At 53.4% G+C, this 18079-nt stretch overlaps 1 protein-coding gene across 11 annotated transcripts in view, besides 3 other annotated features; it reads left to right on the top strand.

Annotated features, from left to right (window-relative positions):
* SCN5A (sodium voltage-gated channel alpha subunit 5) overlaps window positions 1-18079 on the top strand; it is a 101626-nt gene that overhangs the window by 17729 nt on the left and 65818 nt on the right. For 7 of the 11 annotated variants that reach the window (NM_001160161.2, NM_001354701.2, NM_001160160.2 and 4 more), the window contains exons 3-6: window positions 1530-1648; window positions 9470-9559; window positions 10988-11116; window positions 17893-17984. In NM_001160161.2, coding sequence (NP_001153633.1) covers window positions 1530-1648; window positions 9470-9559; window positions 10988-11116; window positions 17893-17984 — 430 coding nt within the window. Of the gene's footprint in view, window positions 1-1529; window positions 2128-9469; window positions 9560-10987; window positions 11117-17355; window positions 17985-18079 lie in introns of those variants that run through there. The other 4 variants (NM_000335.5, NM_198056.3, NR_176299.1 and 1 more) reach the window with 3 other exon arrangements.
* Window positions 3160-3659: an enhancer, noted in NCBI's record as "H3K4me1 hESC enhancer chr3:38669791-38670290 (GRCh37/hg19 assembly coordinates)". NCBI's record gives its function as "activates a minimal SCP1, AML or CMV promoter by ChIP-STARR-seq in primed H9 embryonic stem cells {active_cell/tissue: H9 hESC(primed)}" and the evidence as "EXISTENCE:reporter gene assay evidence [ECO:0000049][PMID:30033119]".
* Window positions 6375-6556: a silencer, noted in NCBI's record as "fragment chr3:38666894-38667075 (GRCh37/hg19 assembly coordinates)". NCBI's record gives its function as "represses an EF-1alpha promoter that drives an FKBP-Casp9 reporter gene in an ReSE screen in HepG2 liver carcinoma cells {active_cell/tissue: HepG2}" and the evidence as "EXISTENCE:reporter gene assay evidence [ECO:0000049][PMID:32094911]".
* Window positions 16499-16999: an enhancer, noted in NCBI's record as "H3K27ac hESC enhancer chr3:38656451-38656951 (GRCh37/hg19 assembly coordinates)". NCBI's record gives its function as "activates a minimal SCP1, AML or CMV promoter by ChIP-STARR-seq in primed H9 embryonic stem cells {active_cell/tissue: H9 hESC(primed)}" and the evidence as "EXISTENCE:reporter gene assay evidence [ECO:0000049][PMID:30033119]".

Below are 18079 nucleotides of genomic sequence, written 5' to 3'. Positions count from 1 at the left end.
TTGGGTGTGCATGCATGCATTGGATACGTGAGTGGTTGTGCATGTGAAGTAAAAGCCCACCCAGTCCACATAAACAGGTGGGGGAGGAGGCCTTGAACTTGGTCCTGCTCCCAAGCCCCCAGCTGAACTTTCCCTTGGTTCAAGTGACTCCAGTGGAGTGCAGGCCAGGTTGGGGCCATAGCTGGAGTCAGAATGAGGCTGGAAGGTGGGCTTAGTCAAGGTGGGCGGGCCTAGGTCATGGTTGGTCGGAGATGGAAGTAGGAATTGGGGTTAGGGTTAAGGCCACAGCTGGTAGTGTGAGTCAAGCTTATGGGGAGAGGATGAGTGGCGATTAGGCTGAAGTTAGCTGGGACAGGCAGGCTCCACGGCAGGTGGACCTGACTGAGGTTGAGGTCAAGACTGGACTGGGCTTTTGGGGGCTGGTGGCAGCTGAGCCTGTGAGAGATCAGGGACACCATCTCTTCTGTCCTTGGGTCTGGGAATGCTTGAACAGCAGCTCCAGGGATGATTCCGGCCTCTCACTTTCTGTTTCCACTTGTTGATCCCTGGCCACGCTGCCTGCAGCCCCACAAGGCAATGGAGGCACCACAACAGAACTTTTGGTCCTAATCTATCTGGTCAGCTTGTCTCCCCAGACCAGATTGGGTAGAACCTTGTCCCACCAGCTCATTCGGCAGAATAGTGGACTCACTGCCTTGCCCATGGGTGGAGGTGAGGGAGGTCTCAGGGGAATGTCAGGTTGTGACATTCCCCTAGACCTCCGTGAGGCCACAGAGCTGTGACCACCACACACCGGGGCAGGTGGGGAGGCACTGCTGTCCTCAAGGGCTGCTTGGGCACCTGATGTGCATGTGTCTCAGCATTTGGCTCTCATTGTCCGCTCCTGTGCCCCATTGTGCTGTGTAGAAAGGATCTTCCAGAAGCTCAGGGAGGGGTTGCATTGCACTGTTCATGATCCTCTGGAGGGAGGCAGTAGGCTGTGTCCTGTGGGATGGGGCTGACATTTGTCCTGGACTCCAGGAGACAGGGTCCCAAGAAAAGCTCTCTCAGGGGACTGCTTCTGCATTTTCGTTTTCCCTTCTCCTCACCCGTAAGTCCTTCCTGCTGACGCAGCTTCCCTATCACGCCCTCCCTCCCAGTGGGCCTGGCAGGGACCCCATGCAGGGTGAGGAGGGGTCAGCTAAGGGAGAAGGGGAGGGAGGAGGCATTCCCAGGTCTGCTGAGCCTCTGCTGTGACAACAGCTGGGCAAGGACTGTAAAAGCTCCCTTCTTTTTGTGACTATAATTTTGAAACTAAATCTCAACCAACCGGACATTCCCCTGAGATCTCCCTCACCTCCACCCATGGGCAAGGCAGTGAGTCTACTGACCTGCCAAATGTGCTGGCAGCCTCCCTTCCCCCTCTCCTCCCTCAGCCCCTCTCCTCCTCCTCCCACCTCACCGCTCAGCCACAGTCCAAGGGCTCTGAGCCAAAAGCTGCCCCCAAAAGCCTTTCTACACAAGGGCCTAATGCTACTGTCTGTCCCCAGACTTTCATCGTACTGAATAAAGGCAAGACCATCTTCCGGTTCAGTGCCACCAACGCCTTGTATGTCCTCAGTCCCTTCCACCCCATCCGGAGAGCGGCTGTGAAGATTCTGGTTCACTCATATCCTTTGCAGTTAATACCTGCTGAGTACCCCCTGGGGGCCCACGCTGGGGATGTGCACGTGCTGCCCCCACCCCACCTCCATTCTAGTTTAGGAGTGAGAGTAGCGCTGATTCCCTGCTGGTCCTAAGACAAATGCATGGTCATGACCTGGGAGCTGGTTGGAAATGAAGAACCTCTGACCCTCCTCCAGACCTGCCAAGTCAGCACCTGCATTTTCATTTGATCCCCAGGGGATTCTTGGGCACATGAAAGTTTGAGAAACCCTCTTCTGATTCTTCAGAACATTCTAGAAGCTAAGCTACTGAGGATCCCAGAAGAAATGACGTCTGTCGGGCTCTGATATTGGCTCCAAATATCCCTCCCCACCACACCCCCTTGGTCCGTCCTCCTCCCCACCCACTTGCAGGGACCTTCAAGCAGGTCACCAGAACTTAGCCAAGGAAAAACCATTTCCCAATAAAGAGGCCTCTAGTTTATTCACATGTGGGCATCTTTTGAGGGAGGCAGCACTTGCTTTTTGATTAGGCGTTGACAAAATGTTTGCAGTTTCAGAGTATCTCAAAGAACTCTGGTTAGCATTAAATTATATAAACCACAGCTGAAAAAAGCTCCAGCCTGCAGAGGAGAGCCATTGGAGTGATGCAGCGTAATGAGGGACTTACCGGGCTTGGGCCTGAGAGGGGCATCATTTGGGCAGCACACTGCATGGGGCGCCAGCACCTAATCACTCTGTTCTCTGGACTTCAGAGAAGGGGCCCCATAGATGGAGCCTTCCGGGAGGGTGGTGCCAGCTGCAGTCAGAGGCATGAGTATTTCACTGCGAGGGCCTGGGCAGGCCTCCCTTTGGCCAGTGGCAACCAGGGTGAGTGCACACACGCAGGTGGCTCTGCTGATCATCTAAGCGACACTGCTGGGCTCAGCAGTGCGACCGATTGTGGGTCTAGCGGGCTGGCCCCACAGAGCTCTCCAAGGTCCCCTTCAGCCCCTTCTCTGAATGGACTTTTTTGAGGCCAAGACAAAGACTTCACTCACTAACCTCTGGCCAAGGCAGGAGGCATCAGGATTACAGATACCTAGTGAGGGACTAAATAACCAGGACTGAGGCTGGCAGGTCAGGAGCTTTTCCTGCCCGGGCAGGGATGGGGGATGCTCCTCCTATGGCTCCACTTTCTTCCCACCTGTGCCCAGTGCCTGATCCTGACCCCAGGGGTTCATTGGAGGGGCATGCATGGCAAGTGGTGTCTGCATGCACATGTGCAGTAAAATGCATGCGTCCAACCACGTGTCTGCTCTCCAGCCTACCCCTGCCTTTCTGGTGGGGTTCATGAGACAACCCCACATGCAAACCATGGCTGTGGCGTGAGCAAAGTGGGAGGCAGACACTGTGGAGAGGGACCATATGTAGCGAGCAGCCTGCCATTCACAGCTGCATCTTATTTTGTGGGGCAAGTGTGGGTCTAGATTTCATCTTGAGCCATCCTGAGTTCCCTGTAGGTGTCAGGCTCTTTGCTAGGCACGCTGGGGTATCGAGCCGAATAAGACCCCGTCTGGGCCCCTTGGGAATTTTATAGTTCCCCTAAAAGTGATAAGGCAGCTTCGCAAATAGTTATGCTTTCTGCCAGAGTGTGGTCACAGCCTGGTAAGAAGAACAGAGCAGCAGGAGGAGGAAAGGCCAGCTTTTCTTGCTCTGAGCCCGTCTCTGGCCTCACTCCGGGGGTGTGGCCTCTCTAACAGCATCCTCCAGCTCTCACCTGGGGCTTCTCCTCCAGGTATCTAACCAACCCAGCACTGTTTGGCAGCCACAGAAGCCCTCAGGGATGTAGCAGAAGCTCCAGAGCTCCTGCAAGGTGCTGAGCTGGGTCGTGGGGCAAATGAAAGGTCAGGGAGGCAGGTGGGCAAGGGAGGCAGTGGGGGGCCCTCGAGTGCCCAGCCTGGCCAGACTGTCCATTGAGCAATGGCTCTGAGGCTGTGAGGTGCTGCTTCCACCTGGAAAAACTGGCCCTGAGGGCTCGGAGCCAGCCTCTATCCCCCAGGACAGCTGCCCCAGGGAATTGTCAAGCATCAGTGAGGACCTGTACTGGGTTCCCAGTGGCTGCCTTGACACTGCTGCTGCCTGGGGATGGGAGCACATTGCTGGACCTCGACAGCGCCACTTAGTGGGCTCAGTGGGCACTGGGGGGAAGAAGAGGCCTAGATTTGTGGGGTTTGGGAGCAGCCCCTCAGCAACACTGTTGAGCCTTGACATTGAGTGTGGTGTGTGGACCAGTAGCATCAGCTTCACCAGGATGTTGTAGGAGTGGCCGAATCTTGGGCCTCACCCCAGAACCTATGTGTAGCAAGGTCCCATGTGCATGCCACCCTAGGGCAGTTGCTTCCAAATGCTAATCTGAGGGCCATCTCAGTCTCACCTGGGAAGTTTGTAAAAATGCAAAATTCTTAGCTCTTTCCAGACCAGAATCACCAGTGTGAGGCCTAGAAATCTGTAAGTGCTCCATGATTTTTTTTTAACTTGAGGTATACTACTTCATATACCATAAAATTTATCTTTTTCTTTTTCTTTTTTTTTTTTTGAGATGGAGTCTCACTCTGCCGCCCAGGCTGGAGTGCAGTGGCGCAATCTCGGCTCACTGCAACCTCCGCCTCCTGGGTTCAAGCGATTCTCTGCCTCAGCCTCCTGAGTAGCTGGGATTACAGGCGTCCGCCACCACGCCGGGCTAATTTTTGTATTTTTAGTAAAGGTGGGGTTTCACCATCTTGGCCATGCTGGTCTTGAACTCCTGACCTCGTGATCCACCCGCCTCGGCCTCCCAAAGTGCTGGGATTACAGGCAGGAGCCACCGCACCCAGCCAAAATTTACCATTTTTAAGTGCACAGTTCAGTGGTTTTTAGTATATTCATAAGGTTATGCAACCATCACCACTATCTATTTCCAGAACATTTGCACCACCCCAAAAGAAATCCTGTGCCCATTATCAGTCACTATGCATTTCTAAAGAACATCAGGTCTCATGTTTTGAATGGTGAACTTTTGCTGTGCTTAAATTTTTATGCTCATTCAAACATCTAAGTTCCACATGTGCAAAGTTCTGTGCAACGCCCTTTGGGAATGGTAAGTGGGGCAAAGACAAACTTAAAAGTGGGCAGGAATGCAGCCTGGTGAGAAAACCTGCTCAGTCGTGACAATCCAGGAGCTCACAGACCGTAGCAAGTGCGCAGTGATTCCGCTTGGCCTTGTTCTTGGCTCCATGCTTGCAGTGTATCTCTGGGAAGTTACCAAAAAGTAAATATGGGCATGTGGAATGATTTTTTTATATGTATTTTTGTTATAATCCTGCAGAATGTGTTCCTGCTGGGATTAAATAAAAGAAACCAACTGAACTCCATATCCTACCGCAGTCACATTCAGAGAGGCCTCACACACACACTGAGAAGTATTTTGCCTTCTTGGTTGTATAGGATCTGTGCACAAAATCCTCCCACGTTCCTCTACCAGATTCAAATGGGCAATCAAACCACATGTCTGTGGTGTATGTGTGTGTGCCTGTTGATTTAATAGCACAAACACATGAAAATACCCCTCCAGAGTTAATTACCTTTTCTTTGGGTGGTTTTTTTTTTTAAACTCCCTGGGATCTGAAGACTTAGGCAGCCCAAGTGTCAGGCATTCCCCACAACTCAGGCACTCCTTGCTGGCATTTTTATCATGAGGCTAGGAGTGGGTGTTTAGGGACAATGACATGACAAGATTGAAGATGTTCAGCTGAGCATAGACCTGGAGAGCTGGCCTTTGCCTCAGCCCACACAAGGGACCAGCTCAATCATCAGCCTGAAATTACAAGGCAGTGCAAACAGGTGTGCCCTGGCCAGGAGTTCAGTTGACTCGTCTCTATGGTATTGGCTACGTGCTGGGCGCCATGGGGGACCTGGGTATGCTTTAGGCAGAGTCATATGGACTGGGTGCTCAGTCTAGGAAGGAAGAGATCTCATACGTGCAGAAGAAGGATTGACAATTGTGCAAGTGCTGTCCTCAAGGCCATGGGAACCAGGCAAGGATTTTGAGCAGTGAAGTGGCAGAGAGACAAGAGCTTGCTACACGTCACCCTAAGCCATTGCTGTGTCTGGAAAAGGTAAAACCCAGATAGACAGCTCCTGTCATTGCCCACCATGGGACCCAGGTCCTGACTGGTGGGATCCAGAGGGCTGTGTGCCCTGGCTCTTCCCTGAGTCTGGGTGTTCAAGTCTCACTCACCTCTGCCTGGGTCCAGCCAAGGCCTGTAGTACAAGGCAGCCTGTTCACACCACTGCTCCCTGCAATGGGGCCTGTTCCCCCACTCTAAGGAGAGCTGTGAGTGGTCCCCCTAGAGCTGGAAGGGACTTGGCTCCACCGAGAGGAGTCCACCACCCAGCCTTCAGCACATGCTGCTTCACCATGACCAGCTGGGCTGACTGGTTGCTGGAGCAACCCTGGCCAGCCTTGGTGCTTATCTAAATGCCTCTTCCAGGAAGCCTTCCTGCCCAGCCCAGCCAGAGGCATGTTTGGTTTTTTCATAATATCCCATGTCAGAGCGTTTTGGGGACATGGCTCCATTGCCCCCCTGGCTCCCACTCAGGGCCAGACACACATGCTCAAGTGGGATTTCCTCTTACAAATAACAAATAATTCCCTCCCTCCTGTACGGTAGTCTCCCCACATTCGACGGTGCTCTCTACCTCGTTTGGTTTTCACACCGCCCCATGGGTGGCAGAGGCCAGGCGTGGAATAGCTTACCTGCTTGGCATGTGAGAGCCAGAAGCAGCATGACTCATGCAGACCCTCCAGTCTGGAGGCAGGAGAGTGGACCGGGTGGCCTTGAATGTCATCTTGCAGAGGTGGTGCAGCATGGGGCCTCAGAGTGGGGCCCAGATCAGGAGAACCAGGGTGCATGCTGGCTCAGCCATTGATCAGCTTGGTACCAGGAGTACTTTCCCAGGAATGCTGTAACAAATTACCACCAATGCAGTGGCTTAAAGCAAAGCAGATTTATCACCTTACAGCTTTGGAGGTCAGAGGTCCAAAATGGTTCTTGCTGGACTAAACTCAGGGTGTCAGCAGGGCTACACACCTTTTGGAGGCTCTAGGGGAGAATGTGTTTCCGAGGCATTTCCAGCTTCTGGAGGCTGCACTGGATTCTTAGTCTGTGGTTCCCTGTCATCATCAAGCCAGGAATGACCGGTTGAATTTCATGTCACAACACTCTGCCTCTCTTTTGCTTAAAAGGACCCCTGTGATTATACTGAGTCTACCTGGATAATCTAGAATGATCTCCCCACCTCAAGATCCTTAATTTAGGGCCAGGAGCAGTGGCTGATACTTGTAATCTCAGCACTTTTGGTGGCTGAGGTGGGAGGATTGCTTGAGCCCAGGAGTTCAAGACCAGCTAAGCAACATGGTAAGACGTTGTGTCTACAAAAAAAAATTAAAAATTAGCTGGCTATGGTAGTGTGCACCTGTAGTCCTAGTTACTCAGGAGGCTGAGGCAGGAGGATCTCTTGAGCCCAAGATTTCAAGACTGCGGTAAGCTGTGGTAATACCATTGCACTCCAGCCCCAGTGACAGAGCTAGACCCTGTCTCGCGGAGGCCAGGGGAGATCCTTAATTTAATCACATCTGCACGGTCTCATTTTGTCATACAAATTAGCATATTCACAGTTTCCGGGGATTCCTCCATGGCCACCTTGGGGGTGGTGGGGGCATTATTCTGCCTACCACAGTGACCTTCAACTTAACCTCTTTGTGCCTCAGTCTTCTCATCACCTAAAATGGAAACAAAGTCCCCATCACATATGGTTGTTGGGAAAACTGAATTCGCTGATGGACACGGAGAGCAAATTCTGGTACCTAGGAAGGGCTCAATGAATATTCACTCTTAGCATCATTGCTTGCATATTTTAGGAGTCACCTGGGCTCCCCAGTAGATGCTTAGCAGCAGATCCGTGGGGATGAATAAAGACTGGTTGGGGGGCTTGTTAACCATCTGCCTAGTGAGGAAAGCCTTGGCACATACCCCGCATGTGGGCAGTGTGTGTGTGTATGTGTGTGTGTGTGTGTGTGTGTGTGTAAGGGAGAAGGGGTACTGATACTGAGATGATTATCTGATCCTGCCTTGAAAGCTGGAGAGGGATATAAGCCTGGCCCTGGACACCCTCACACGGGCAGAGGGCTGGGCAGATACCAAACTGACGGAGGGACCCCAGGGCCTGAAGTGATGCCTTCTGGTCACGGAGAAATCAAGGCTTCCTGGAGCCATGGCATCAGAGCCGAGCAGTCCTGTTGGCTCAGTCCTTGTTTGACTAAGGGAGAGTCCCAAAGCCTAATTTCCTCTCGTCCCAGATGAGAAACTAAATAATTATAAACTGGAGGCTGGTTTGAGATGCTGATTTCCTGATTGCCTGACTCCCTAGAAGAGGAGCAGCACGGAGGGCATCTACCTGGTTAGATTCCCGAGAGGCATCCCCACTGTCCCCAGCAGGGGCAGTCGGCACCGCAGCCAGGCCTGGTCTGTGCTCGGACTGCACTGGCCTTCCCATCAGGTGAGGTGGAGCTATGCTAGGGAGGCAAGAGGCAGCCCCTGGAGCTCAATTACCGCAGCTCCTGGGCGGCCTGTGGGAATCACCAGTTTGGCAGCTGTGCATACGGGGCTGAGGCCGGGCATGGTGTTGAGCGCTTGGGGGCAGCCACAGGGAGTGGAAGGCCTAGCCACTCCTCTGGGGCTGGGTAGGGATTTGTGAGAGAAGCACAGTGTCCCTGCTCTAGGCCAGGCCTCCAGGGGTGCCCCAGCCTACAGGAGGCCCAGAGTCTGCCCCCTTGTTCCTCTGCAGGCCTTGCAGAGGTGGAGGAGGGCGATTGGAGCTTTGTCTAGCCTGAAGCAGCAGCTAGGAATTGTAGCCAGAGTCAGGCTCAGAGAAGTCCTGGGCAGTTCAGTTCAAGGCCAAGAGCCCACAAGTAGACCTGAAGCACAGCTCTGGTACTTGAAGCGCTGCCTTGTGATGGGAGACAGATGGACATTGCCGTTCAGTGAGCCACCAGGGCTAAAAGAGGGGTGCCCGAAGCCCGCAGGGCACAGAGGCAGCACCGTGTTACCAGAAAGGCAGGACAGGCTGCTAGGGAGTTGGGTGGGGTCCTACTGACGGGCTCCTGCAGGGTGAGAAGGAGATTCCCAGGTGGAGCAGAGGGCTAGCTTGAAGACTAGGTGCACAGGCAGGAAGCAGCCAGAGGAGTGGTCCCCTGCCTCCCCAGGGGTAGCAGGCCCTGGCCAGGTGTGCAGTTGTTTGGCAGCAGGGCATTCTGCAGAGAACTTCTAGACAACGCCTGGCCTGGGCTGCTCCCCTAGAAGTGGAGGAGGGAACTCAGAGCCCTGCCACTCTGGCCTTGCCCTCCCCCTGAGGAGCAATTTATAAATGCCCATTTCTCTCCTATGTGACTGAGGACAGGGCCCCTCGCCTGACTGCGGTTAAAAGGCTTTGAGGTCTGGGGCCCACCTCTCCTGCCTTCCCTCCACACGAGACCCTACCAGCAGTGTGGTTTCAAGTCTCTGGTGCCTATTAGGTGTCATGGAGCAGGCCAGGGGGCCAGCTGCAAGTGCCGGGGAAGGGAAAGAGACCAGCCTGGGTGGAGGGGGATTGGCATGGACTGGTCACAGCCCCAGTGTGTCTCCTTGGAGACCCTGTTTATTGTCTGGTAGCACTGGCCTGGCAGTGATGACCCCCAGGGGCAGGACCCCCCCAGCGGTGGTGGCGTGGCCGGCCCATGCTGCTCAGCTTTCCTTGACCCCACGCACGCTCTTCAACATGCTCATCATGTGCACCATCCTCACCAACTGCGTGTTCATGGCCCAGCACGACCCTCCACCCTGGACCAAGTATGTCGAGTGAGTATCTTCAGGGCCTCTTCTCCACGTGGCCCCCTCCCTTCCTTTCCATTCCATGCCATGGCTCCTGAAGCTGCCCTGGAAGGGGGCTTGTGTCCAGGCCCAGGAACTTACCCATGGCGGTGGGGCAGCCCTTGGCTCAGCTTCTACCCTCTTTTGCCTTTCCCAGTCCTGCCAACTTCTGGCATTAATTTGAGTTGTGCCTTCTAGGGAGGAAGCTCTCCAGAGTGGCAAAGTAGAAAGTTTCTCCCTGTCCTGCCTAAAGAGGAATGATGACATTGGAGAAAGTTCTGAAATAATAATAATTTATTGAGCATTTTGTACACGCCAGGCACTGTCATAAGAACAATAAGCATCATCTCCTTTAACCCTCATGGCCACCCAGTAGGGTGGGTGCAGCCACCTTCCCCATTGCACAGATGAGACTAAGAATTAGAGAAATAGCTGGCCTGATGCCATGCAGCTAGGAGGTAGGCAGCTAGGAGGTAGGCAGCTAGGAGGTACCCCAGGGCTATCCCCACTTCAGTAACACACTCTGCTGCCTTTTTTTTCCCAAGTCCTGCCTCCTATAACCATTTGCACAGTTCCAGAAACTGCTTCTGGTTCTTTTCTTCCCAAACAAAAGTACCTTACCTGGAGGTTCTAAGCAGACTTGATAAGCCCTTACTGCATTTGGCTGCAGTTTTCAGGAGACCAACAGAATGTTGGGGCAGCTCTCTTCCCAAAGCAGTCTGCCTAGTTGTTCTCCATGTTCACACAGAACCTAGCAGTGCTCTCAGCTGGTACGTGCAGCTGCTCTGAATCCTGGGATGCGGTCCTCTCCCGCTCCAGCACTGGGGGCCTCAGTCCCAGCATCCAGGCATTTTGGATTCCTCAGGCTGCCCTAGGCAGAGAGAACAGCACCCCGACTCCCATCAGCCCCATGCATTATAATATCAACACCCCTTCAAGCCCAAGGTGGACAGCTGGACCCACCCACCCTGTAAGCAGTTGAGGATTGACTGGGCCCATTGCTAGCTGCTGAGGACCCACAAACAGGGGTGAGGGTCCATGTACACTGTCCTATAGCACAGACCCTGTGGCCACTGTATGCCTGTTGCATGCACAGCCCCCCAGGGCTGGGGTGAGGAGATTGGGAGGAGGTCTTCTTCCACCAAGACAACCGAGAGAGAATACAGAGAGTTCAGATGGACACATGGCAGTTACACGATAATATGGAATAAACAAATTGGACGATGGATTCGTTAGCCAGATGTTTAGAGCAAAGTTCCATCCCCAACTCCAGCTCTGCCATGGGGGCATTGCAGAGAGCCCCGTTTGATGGCCTCTGTTGAAGGGAGCTTTGTGGGGCTCACACCACGTAAGGAACCTGGAGAACCTGGCCTGCTCAGGCCTCCCTAAGAAACCCCACCGGCCTCTCCTGCCCAGGTACACCTTCACCGCCATTTACACCTTTGAGTCTCTGGTCAAGATTCTGGCTCGAGGCTTCTGCCTGCACGCGTTCACTTTCCTTCGGGACCCATGGAACTGGCTGGACTTTAGTGTGATTATCATGGCGTAAGTATCTCATTTGCTATGCTGTGCTATGCCTTGCAGGCCACACTGGGGTGGGGTGTGCACCACCCCAGGCCCCAGACCACCCCTCTCTTTCTGGCTTCCTCCCTGCAGTCCACATGCAGCTCTGCACACAGGCTGGAGGAAGGTAGGGTGGAGGCCCTGAGCTCATCCTGGTGGGGAGAGACAGCTCAGGCAGGCCTTGGTGGTCAGGCCTACTGGCTCACCTGGGGCTCCACGGCAGCCCTGGTCTCCAGGGACATCGTTAAGATTCTGGTTTAGTATCCTCTGCCCTTTCCACCAAGAGAAACCAATATTTCAACCCCTGGCCCACTGCGAATGGTGACCTGGATTCCAAGATGATTAAGAATGAAATTGCAGCCAAGAGAAGGAGCCTGGAGAAGTGACTAAGCATCCCCAGGAACTCACACCAGTCGCACCAGCACATCAGCTTGCTCCATCCAGAGACTCAATGTTTGGCACATTTTAAAGCACCCGACCACTGACACAATACAGTGGATCCTCACACCAGCCAGAGAAGTAGGCTACCTGGGGATGGCTTAGCCCATTTTATGGGTGAGAAAACTGATGCCAAGGACACACAGGGAGCCTGCCAGAAAGTGAACGTGACCCCAGGCCTGCTGCAGCCCAGGCTGAGGCCCTGCCTCTTTGCCTACAGGAGAAACCCTTGCTGAGGGGTCAGTGTTGAGGCTGCACTCCACCCTGGAAGTATCAGTGAACAGATGCTGGGTTCTGATGGGACATCTGCAGAAGTCGTGATCAGAGGCTCAACCATCAAAGGCATTTTGAAGGCTGAGTGCGGTGGCTCACACCTGTAATTCCAACACTTTGGGAGGCCAAGGTGAGCAGATTGCTTGAGCTCAAGAGTTCAAGACTAGCCTGGGCAACATAGCAAGACCCCATGTTTATGAAAAACACAAGAATTAGCTGGGTGTGGTGGCACACACCTGCAGTCTCAGCTACTTGGGAGGATCACTTGAACCCATGAAGTCAAGGCTGCAGTGAGCTGTGATCACATCACTGCACTCCAGCCTGGGCAACAGAGCAAGACTGCCTCAAAAAAAAGAAAAAAGAAAAAGGCCTTTCTGAAGCAGAGGACCTAGTGTGTGCAGGGCTGAGCACTGCATCTCAGCAAGGAGCAGAGCTGGTGAGGCTCATACCCCCTGTCCTTGCAAACCCTCAGTTTCCCGACATGTGAAAGGATAGTGTTGTGTGCTGTGGTATCAGAAGCTCAATTCAGCTCTCACTTTCTAGGATGCTTGGAATCCCTGAATCTACCTATTGAAGGCAGGCTTTAACCCCAGACATGAGCAGCCCTGAGCTCAGCCATGCTGTCAGGGAGAGAGGACAAAGAGGGAAACTATACCCTGGTGAATGGGGTATAGACGGAGAACCTGGTAGTGGGAAAATGCATCAGAATCTCTGTCTCTAGGTACACTATTTGTAAGCCAACTCTAGCCCTCCATTTTACAAGTGGGAAAACTGGCTCTGAGAGACAATACCACTTACTTGCCCCAAACCCAGTATGGATTTAGGCCTGGGTGGAGTTAAGCGAGCAAGGAAAGAGTGGTGGGAGATGAAGTTGCAGAGTAGTGGGATGGAAGACAGATCGTGGTAAAAGCCAGGTGTGATGGGAGTCACCGGGGTGTAAGAACAGGCAGAGCTGTGACCCGCTTTACATTCTGTAGAGACTCCCCTGGCTATGGTGTGGACCACAGACTGGAGAAGGTAGAGACAGACGGAGTAGTTAGGAGGCTATATCTTGGAAGCCAGGAGACAGAAGATAGTGACTGGAACCAAGGACCAAGTGGAGAAGGGGAGCACCTGGTCAGATTCTGGACATACTTTGCAGGTAGGGCTGACAGGAGGCCCCCCAAGGTGGTTTTTGGTTTGAGCAGCTGCTAGGTGGACGGTGTTCCCATTGGTTGAAATGGAAAATTGGAGAGAGCGACACTGGCTGAAGTAGGAAGAAAATCAAAAGTCCAGTTTGGGATGTATGACATTTGAAAGCACCCAGGGTGAGATATTGAGTAGGCAACTGGATATTCCAGTCTAGGGTTCAAGAAAGAGCTCCAAGGTGGAAGTATAAATTTAGAAGCTATGGGGATACAGATGGTATTTAAAGCCAGGAGACCAGATGAGATCACCTAGGCATGAGTGTAGCCTGTAGCCTGAATGTACTGTGGGATGCCCCAACATCTCATCTGGAGGCCAAGAGAGAAGGCTGGAGGGCAGAGGCAAATCAGGAGAGAGCAGTGTCTGGGAAGGAATGTGATTCCGCTGGAAACCCGCCACCGGGAGGTTGGGGAAGGTGACGACTAAGAATGGACTATTGGATTTGACAGAGGGGGAAGGTCACTGGTGCCCTTGACAAGAGAGGTTCCAGTGGAGGAAAAGGACATGCACTTGGTTAAGGAGGGTTCAAGAGAGAGTGGGAAGAGAGGAGGTGTGGCAAGTACAGACATCTATTTTGCGGGGCTTGCTATAAAATGGGACTGAAAATGGTGTAGTGGTCAGTGCGGAATGTGGGTCAATCAAGGGAGGGCTTTTAAAGAAGGGGGGTGTCTTTGCAGGCTGGTGAAAATGATCCAGTAGAGAGAGAATGCTAGATGATGTAGATGAGCAAGGGGATTGCAGGAGCAAAGCCCGTGAGCTGGCCCAAGAGGGTGGGAATGCAGTGCCAAGGGGGAGCATCGACCTGAAGAGTGGGGAAGGCTGAATTTCAGGTGGAGATGGAGGTAGATTGATAAGAGTTGATAATGAAATGAAAGGAATTTCTCTTCTGATTGCTTCTATTTTCTCAGTGAAATAAGAAGCTTGATCATCAGCTGAGAACAGAGTGGGGAGGCACATCTGAGGTTTCAGAGAGAGGGAGAACTTTTCATGTCAGAGCCGAGGAGGTTGCACTGACTTGGGAATGGAGTAGGGTTGCCAGGCTGGGCCGTGGGGTGCCCTGTGGGTGGGAAGCAGTAATCCACAGCAGTGTCCTGAGGCTGGGTGTCACAGGAAGGAAGGTGGCTTCGGGCAGGAGAGGATACACCGTCTGCCTGAGCCTTTCCTAGCTCCCCAACCTGGAGCCTGGGCAAGACAGTATCACCACAGAGGCAGCCCCAGATCCCAGGAAAAGTCATTGCCCTGGGCCAAGCTTTGGCTCAGGCTGTGTCTCTGGGAGATGCTCTGAGCGACCTCAGACCCTTAACAAGTCCTCCTGCCCTGTCTCCTGGGAGAATCCTGGTTTCATTCCCAAACCGCTTCTTTCACTGGGAGTCACAAAGCAGGTGTGCCTTCCTCACCGAAACCTGCTTGCCTTTGCTGTGTGCCAGGGCCGAGGCTGACAAGGCAGAACTCGGCCTCAGAAGCTCAGACACTCTCCACGTTTCCAAGCATCTCACAGAAATGGCACATCCACTTCCCGTAGGGCTGTGTGACCCATTGGCACATCAGCTGTGGGCCCTTGGCTGGCCTGGCCTGGCAGCTTTGATTGACAGGGATTCTGGCTTTGAAATGCATTCTCTTAGAGATGCAATGGTTCAGTAACAAGGGACTCTAGGATGATCAAAGGAGATTTGAGTGAAGGGAAACATTCCATTCAGTGGAATCCTCCATCTGACCTCCATTACACAGATGGAGAAAGTGAGTCTCACAGAGAACCTAGCACTTGCCCAAAGTTATAGACTGAATCAGAAGCAATGCTGAGACTAAAACCAAGTCTCCCAACTCCTAACCATGGGATGGATGGGAGAGGCACCCCGAGTCTGATGTTTCTGCTGGGGTGATCCTCCACCCCACTGATTTAGAGGCTGTGGGAGGGTCTGGGGCAGGGTGCTGGGAAGCCTGCCAGGCTCAGCCAGAGCTCTTCCTGTGGCCCCACTCACAGAAGGGCATTACCTGCTAGTTAGCATAGCCTCCCACCTTCTGGGGTTGTTATGGAAACCAAACCTGGAGGGGAAGGGAGGAAGGGCAGAGAGGAGGGTGGCAATTCCTGCAGTCACTAACGGCGTGGGCTTCACCATCTCAAGATAAGGGAGGGGCAGGAAGAAGGCTTCCCTGCAGTGGGGCTGGTGATGGGATAGGATTCTCACCCACCACCCTTTGCTCTTTCTGCCCCTGTCTGCTGTCCAGCTGTCTGCCTCTGGCCAGCAGCTTAGCCATCACTGAAGGAGCAGACTGGCCTGGAGGAGGGTTTTGCCAGCCTGAGAGGGGCAAAGCTCTGACCCCTCACGTGACCCCACACTTGCCACCTCTGCAACTGGCCCTGTGTCATACCAAGCATTCCTCCAGCCCTGCCACACTCAGAGGACCCAAAAGAGGCCTCAGTGGGGATCTGGGTAGAATAAAAGAGGCAGTAGCACACCAAGTCACCAACATGGCCCCAGACATTCCACACCCTTACCCTGTAAGTCCTCTTTTAAGACTTCCTCTAACTCATGATTGCTCTCCCAGACAGACACACGGCCACCAGCTGCACTCCTATTTCCAGCCACTCAGCTGGCTTTGCAAGCCTGCCAGGAGCACAGATATGGTCCTCCCTTATTCTGTCACTAAGCTGTCCTTGTCACCTTGGGACACCAGCTGCCTAGAAGGCAGACAATGAATGGAGGCCAAGCACTGTCTGTGCTGGGGACACTGTGCTGGGGGCAGGTTCCACCCTGGGACAAGCAAAGACAGGCAGAATATAAGCTAGAGATAGGCAGAGTTTTCAATGGAGACACCAGGGGACAGACTGGGTCTGTAAGGGACAGGAGGGAAGCAAGGACTGTTGAAGCAAGGACGGTTGGTTCCCTCTCTAACCTGCACAGTATTCCACTCACTCCCTGTAACTAGAAGAGACAGCCGCGAAACCAGTATCCTAGGCAAGGGGAGCTGCTGTCCTTAGCCACACCCGGTAGAACAGCAGCCAGAAAAGGGGCCCAGAGCCTCCAGCAGGCCAAAGCCATGTTTCCATGGGATGGCAAGGTCAGCAATATCCCAGGCTCAGCCAGAAAGTCCTGTGGCAGCACCATGTCTGGAGAGAGACCGAGAGAAGAATGTTGGACAGAGCCCTGAGAGTCTGAGCCGTCGTGGAGAATGGAATAGCTCTCAGAAGTTGAGAGGGAACTTGGATCAAATTAACAGGTGTATATGAGCCAGAACAAGCACAGTGACCTCTGCTCCCCAGCAGATGATGGGACTGCATCTGACTGCCACGCTGGAGAAAGATGTACATGCTGAAGTGAATACAGGAGACGAAATGGAAGCCACACCACAGAAAGGGTCTGGTGTCATCAGAGGAAAGCAAGCTCTGGCAGTGTGTCTGCTGACGTCCCATCTGTGTAGGGCTTTGCGAGTAAGGAGAGATCAGCATGGTGCATAGGGCCATGTGAAGATGGAGGGGCTCCTCCAGTGGACATAGAGAAAGCTGGTGTCAGCCCAGTGTCAATTAGAGCCAGACCTGTGGACCCCAGGGCATTAAGCCCCTTGACTCAGCTGGCCAAGTTCTTTCCTGTAGATATTCAAAGCCTGAAGGGGAATTGGGAAGCTGGGAGCAGACTGGAAGGGCCTGGAGGTCCAGACCGCCCAGCAGAGTGAGTCTGGCAACAGTGCCAGCCCACCCTTGCACTCACCCAGAGCCACAGGGCTGACGTCCTCTGTCTGACATCACTCAGACACCTACGTCAGACCCACTTGGTTAAACATCAGACATCCCAAGTCCAATGTCCTTTGTTAAATACCAGACACCTTCGGTTAAATGTCACACACCCTGGATGCAAAGCCTTTGATTAAATGTCACAAGTCACTTGCCACTGTCCTGATGGCCTTGGTCACACACTGTCTGTGGTCCTCGTGGTCATGTGGCCCATATACTGCATGTCCTCATGCTCTGCTTGGTCCCTGCCCCCCAGAGACCACCTTCTTACTCCTGTCCCTGTGGAGGCCACAGATGGGCAACTGCCCAAGTTCCAGGAGGGGGCCCACAGCCACTTGCCCTGCTGATCCTCACTCGGACCCAAGCAGGACAGACCCCAGGAAGGGCATCTTGCTTCTGGAGGCCACTCCTCCGGTGGAGACCCAGGGCCATCCCTGGAAGATACCAAGGGTCTGGGGGTGGGACCGGTGGACTTGGGAAGGCGCTCCACTGCCTTGGAGCCCCTCATCCTGCCCTTTTCTCTTCTTGGGTTGTTCCTTGCCTGTGAGTAGTTGGAAGAACAGATATTCAGGCAACCTCTCTTCCCATCTTCCAGTGCCTCTGTCTTGGGAACTCTGTTTTTTCCAATGAGTATTCAGGCCACCTCCACCTCATGATTTCAAGGACTTCTGAGCCAGGCACAAGCTGATCAACAGATCACAGAAGATGTGAACCAAAACTAGGACCAGAAATGCACTTGCTTCCTGTATCACCTGACCTGAGCCTCCTGGAAAACAGGCTTCTCTCTTCACTCTGATGTGTCCCCAGCCCCAGACTCCACATGTGGTTTCATGTCATGGGTCCCAGTGGTGTGGCGAGAGTGGCAGAGTGGTTGCCTTCTAGCACCAGTTATCCTTAGCACCATCACCAAGAGAGCCACCGGGAAGCTTGCTGTGTGGACATCCTTACGGCACTCAAGCCGAAGTCCTATGTTAGGAGGGTTGAAATCCAGAAGAAAACCTGAGGGAGGCCCTGGGCTATCCACAGCACTGCCCCCACCCCCGTGGGAGGGGGCCAAGGGAGAGGGCTGGTCGGGGAGGGCAGGCGGTGGTTCTGCTTTGTAATTCCCAATAACTGTGGTTTGATTCTGCAGGTATGTATCAGAAAATATAAAACTAGGCAATTTGTCGGCTCTTCGAACTTTCAGAGTCCTGAGAGCTCTAAAAACTATTTCAGTTATCCCAGGTAAGATGCCCAGGTTTGCCTCTCAGATCTCAGCTACAAGTGACTCTCTCTCTGTCTTCCCCACCCCCTTTCCTCCTCTGACTGTGTGTCTCCTA

Source organism: Homo sapiens, chromosome 3 (genome assembly GCF_000001405.40).
Source record: "Homo sapiens chromosome 3, GRCh38.p14 Primary Assembly".
Taxonomy (NCBI): domain Eukaryota; kingdom Metazoa; phylum Chordata; class Mammalia; order Primates; family Hominidae; genus Homo; species Homo sapiens.
Note: the sequence above shows the minus strand (reverse complement) of the source record. Positions and strands in the feature narration are given on the sequence as shown.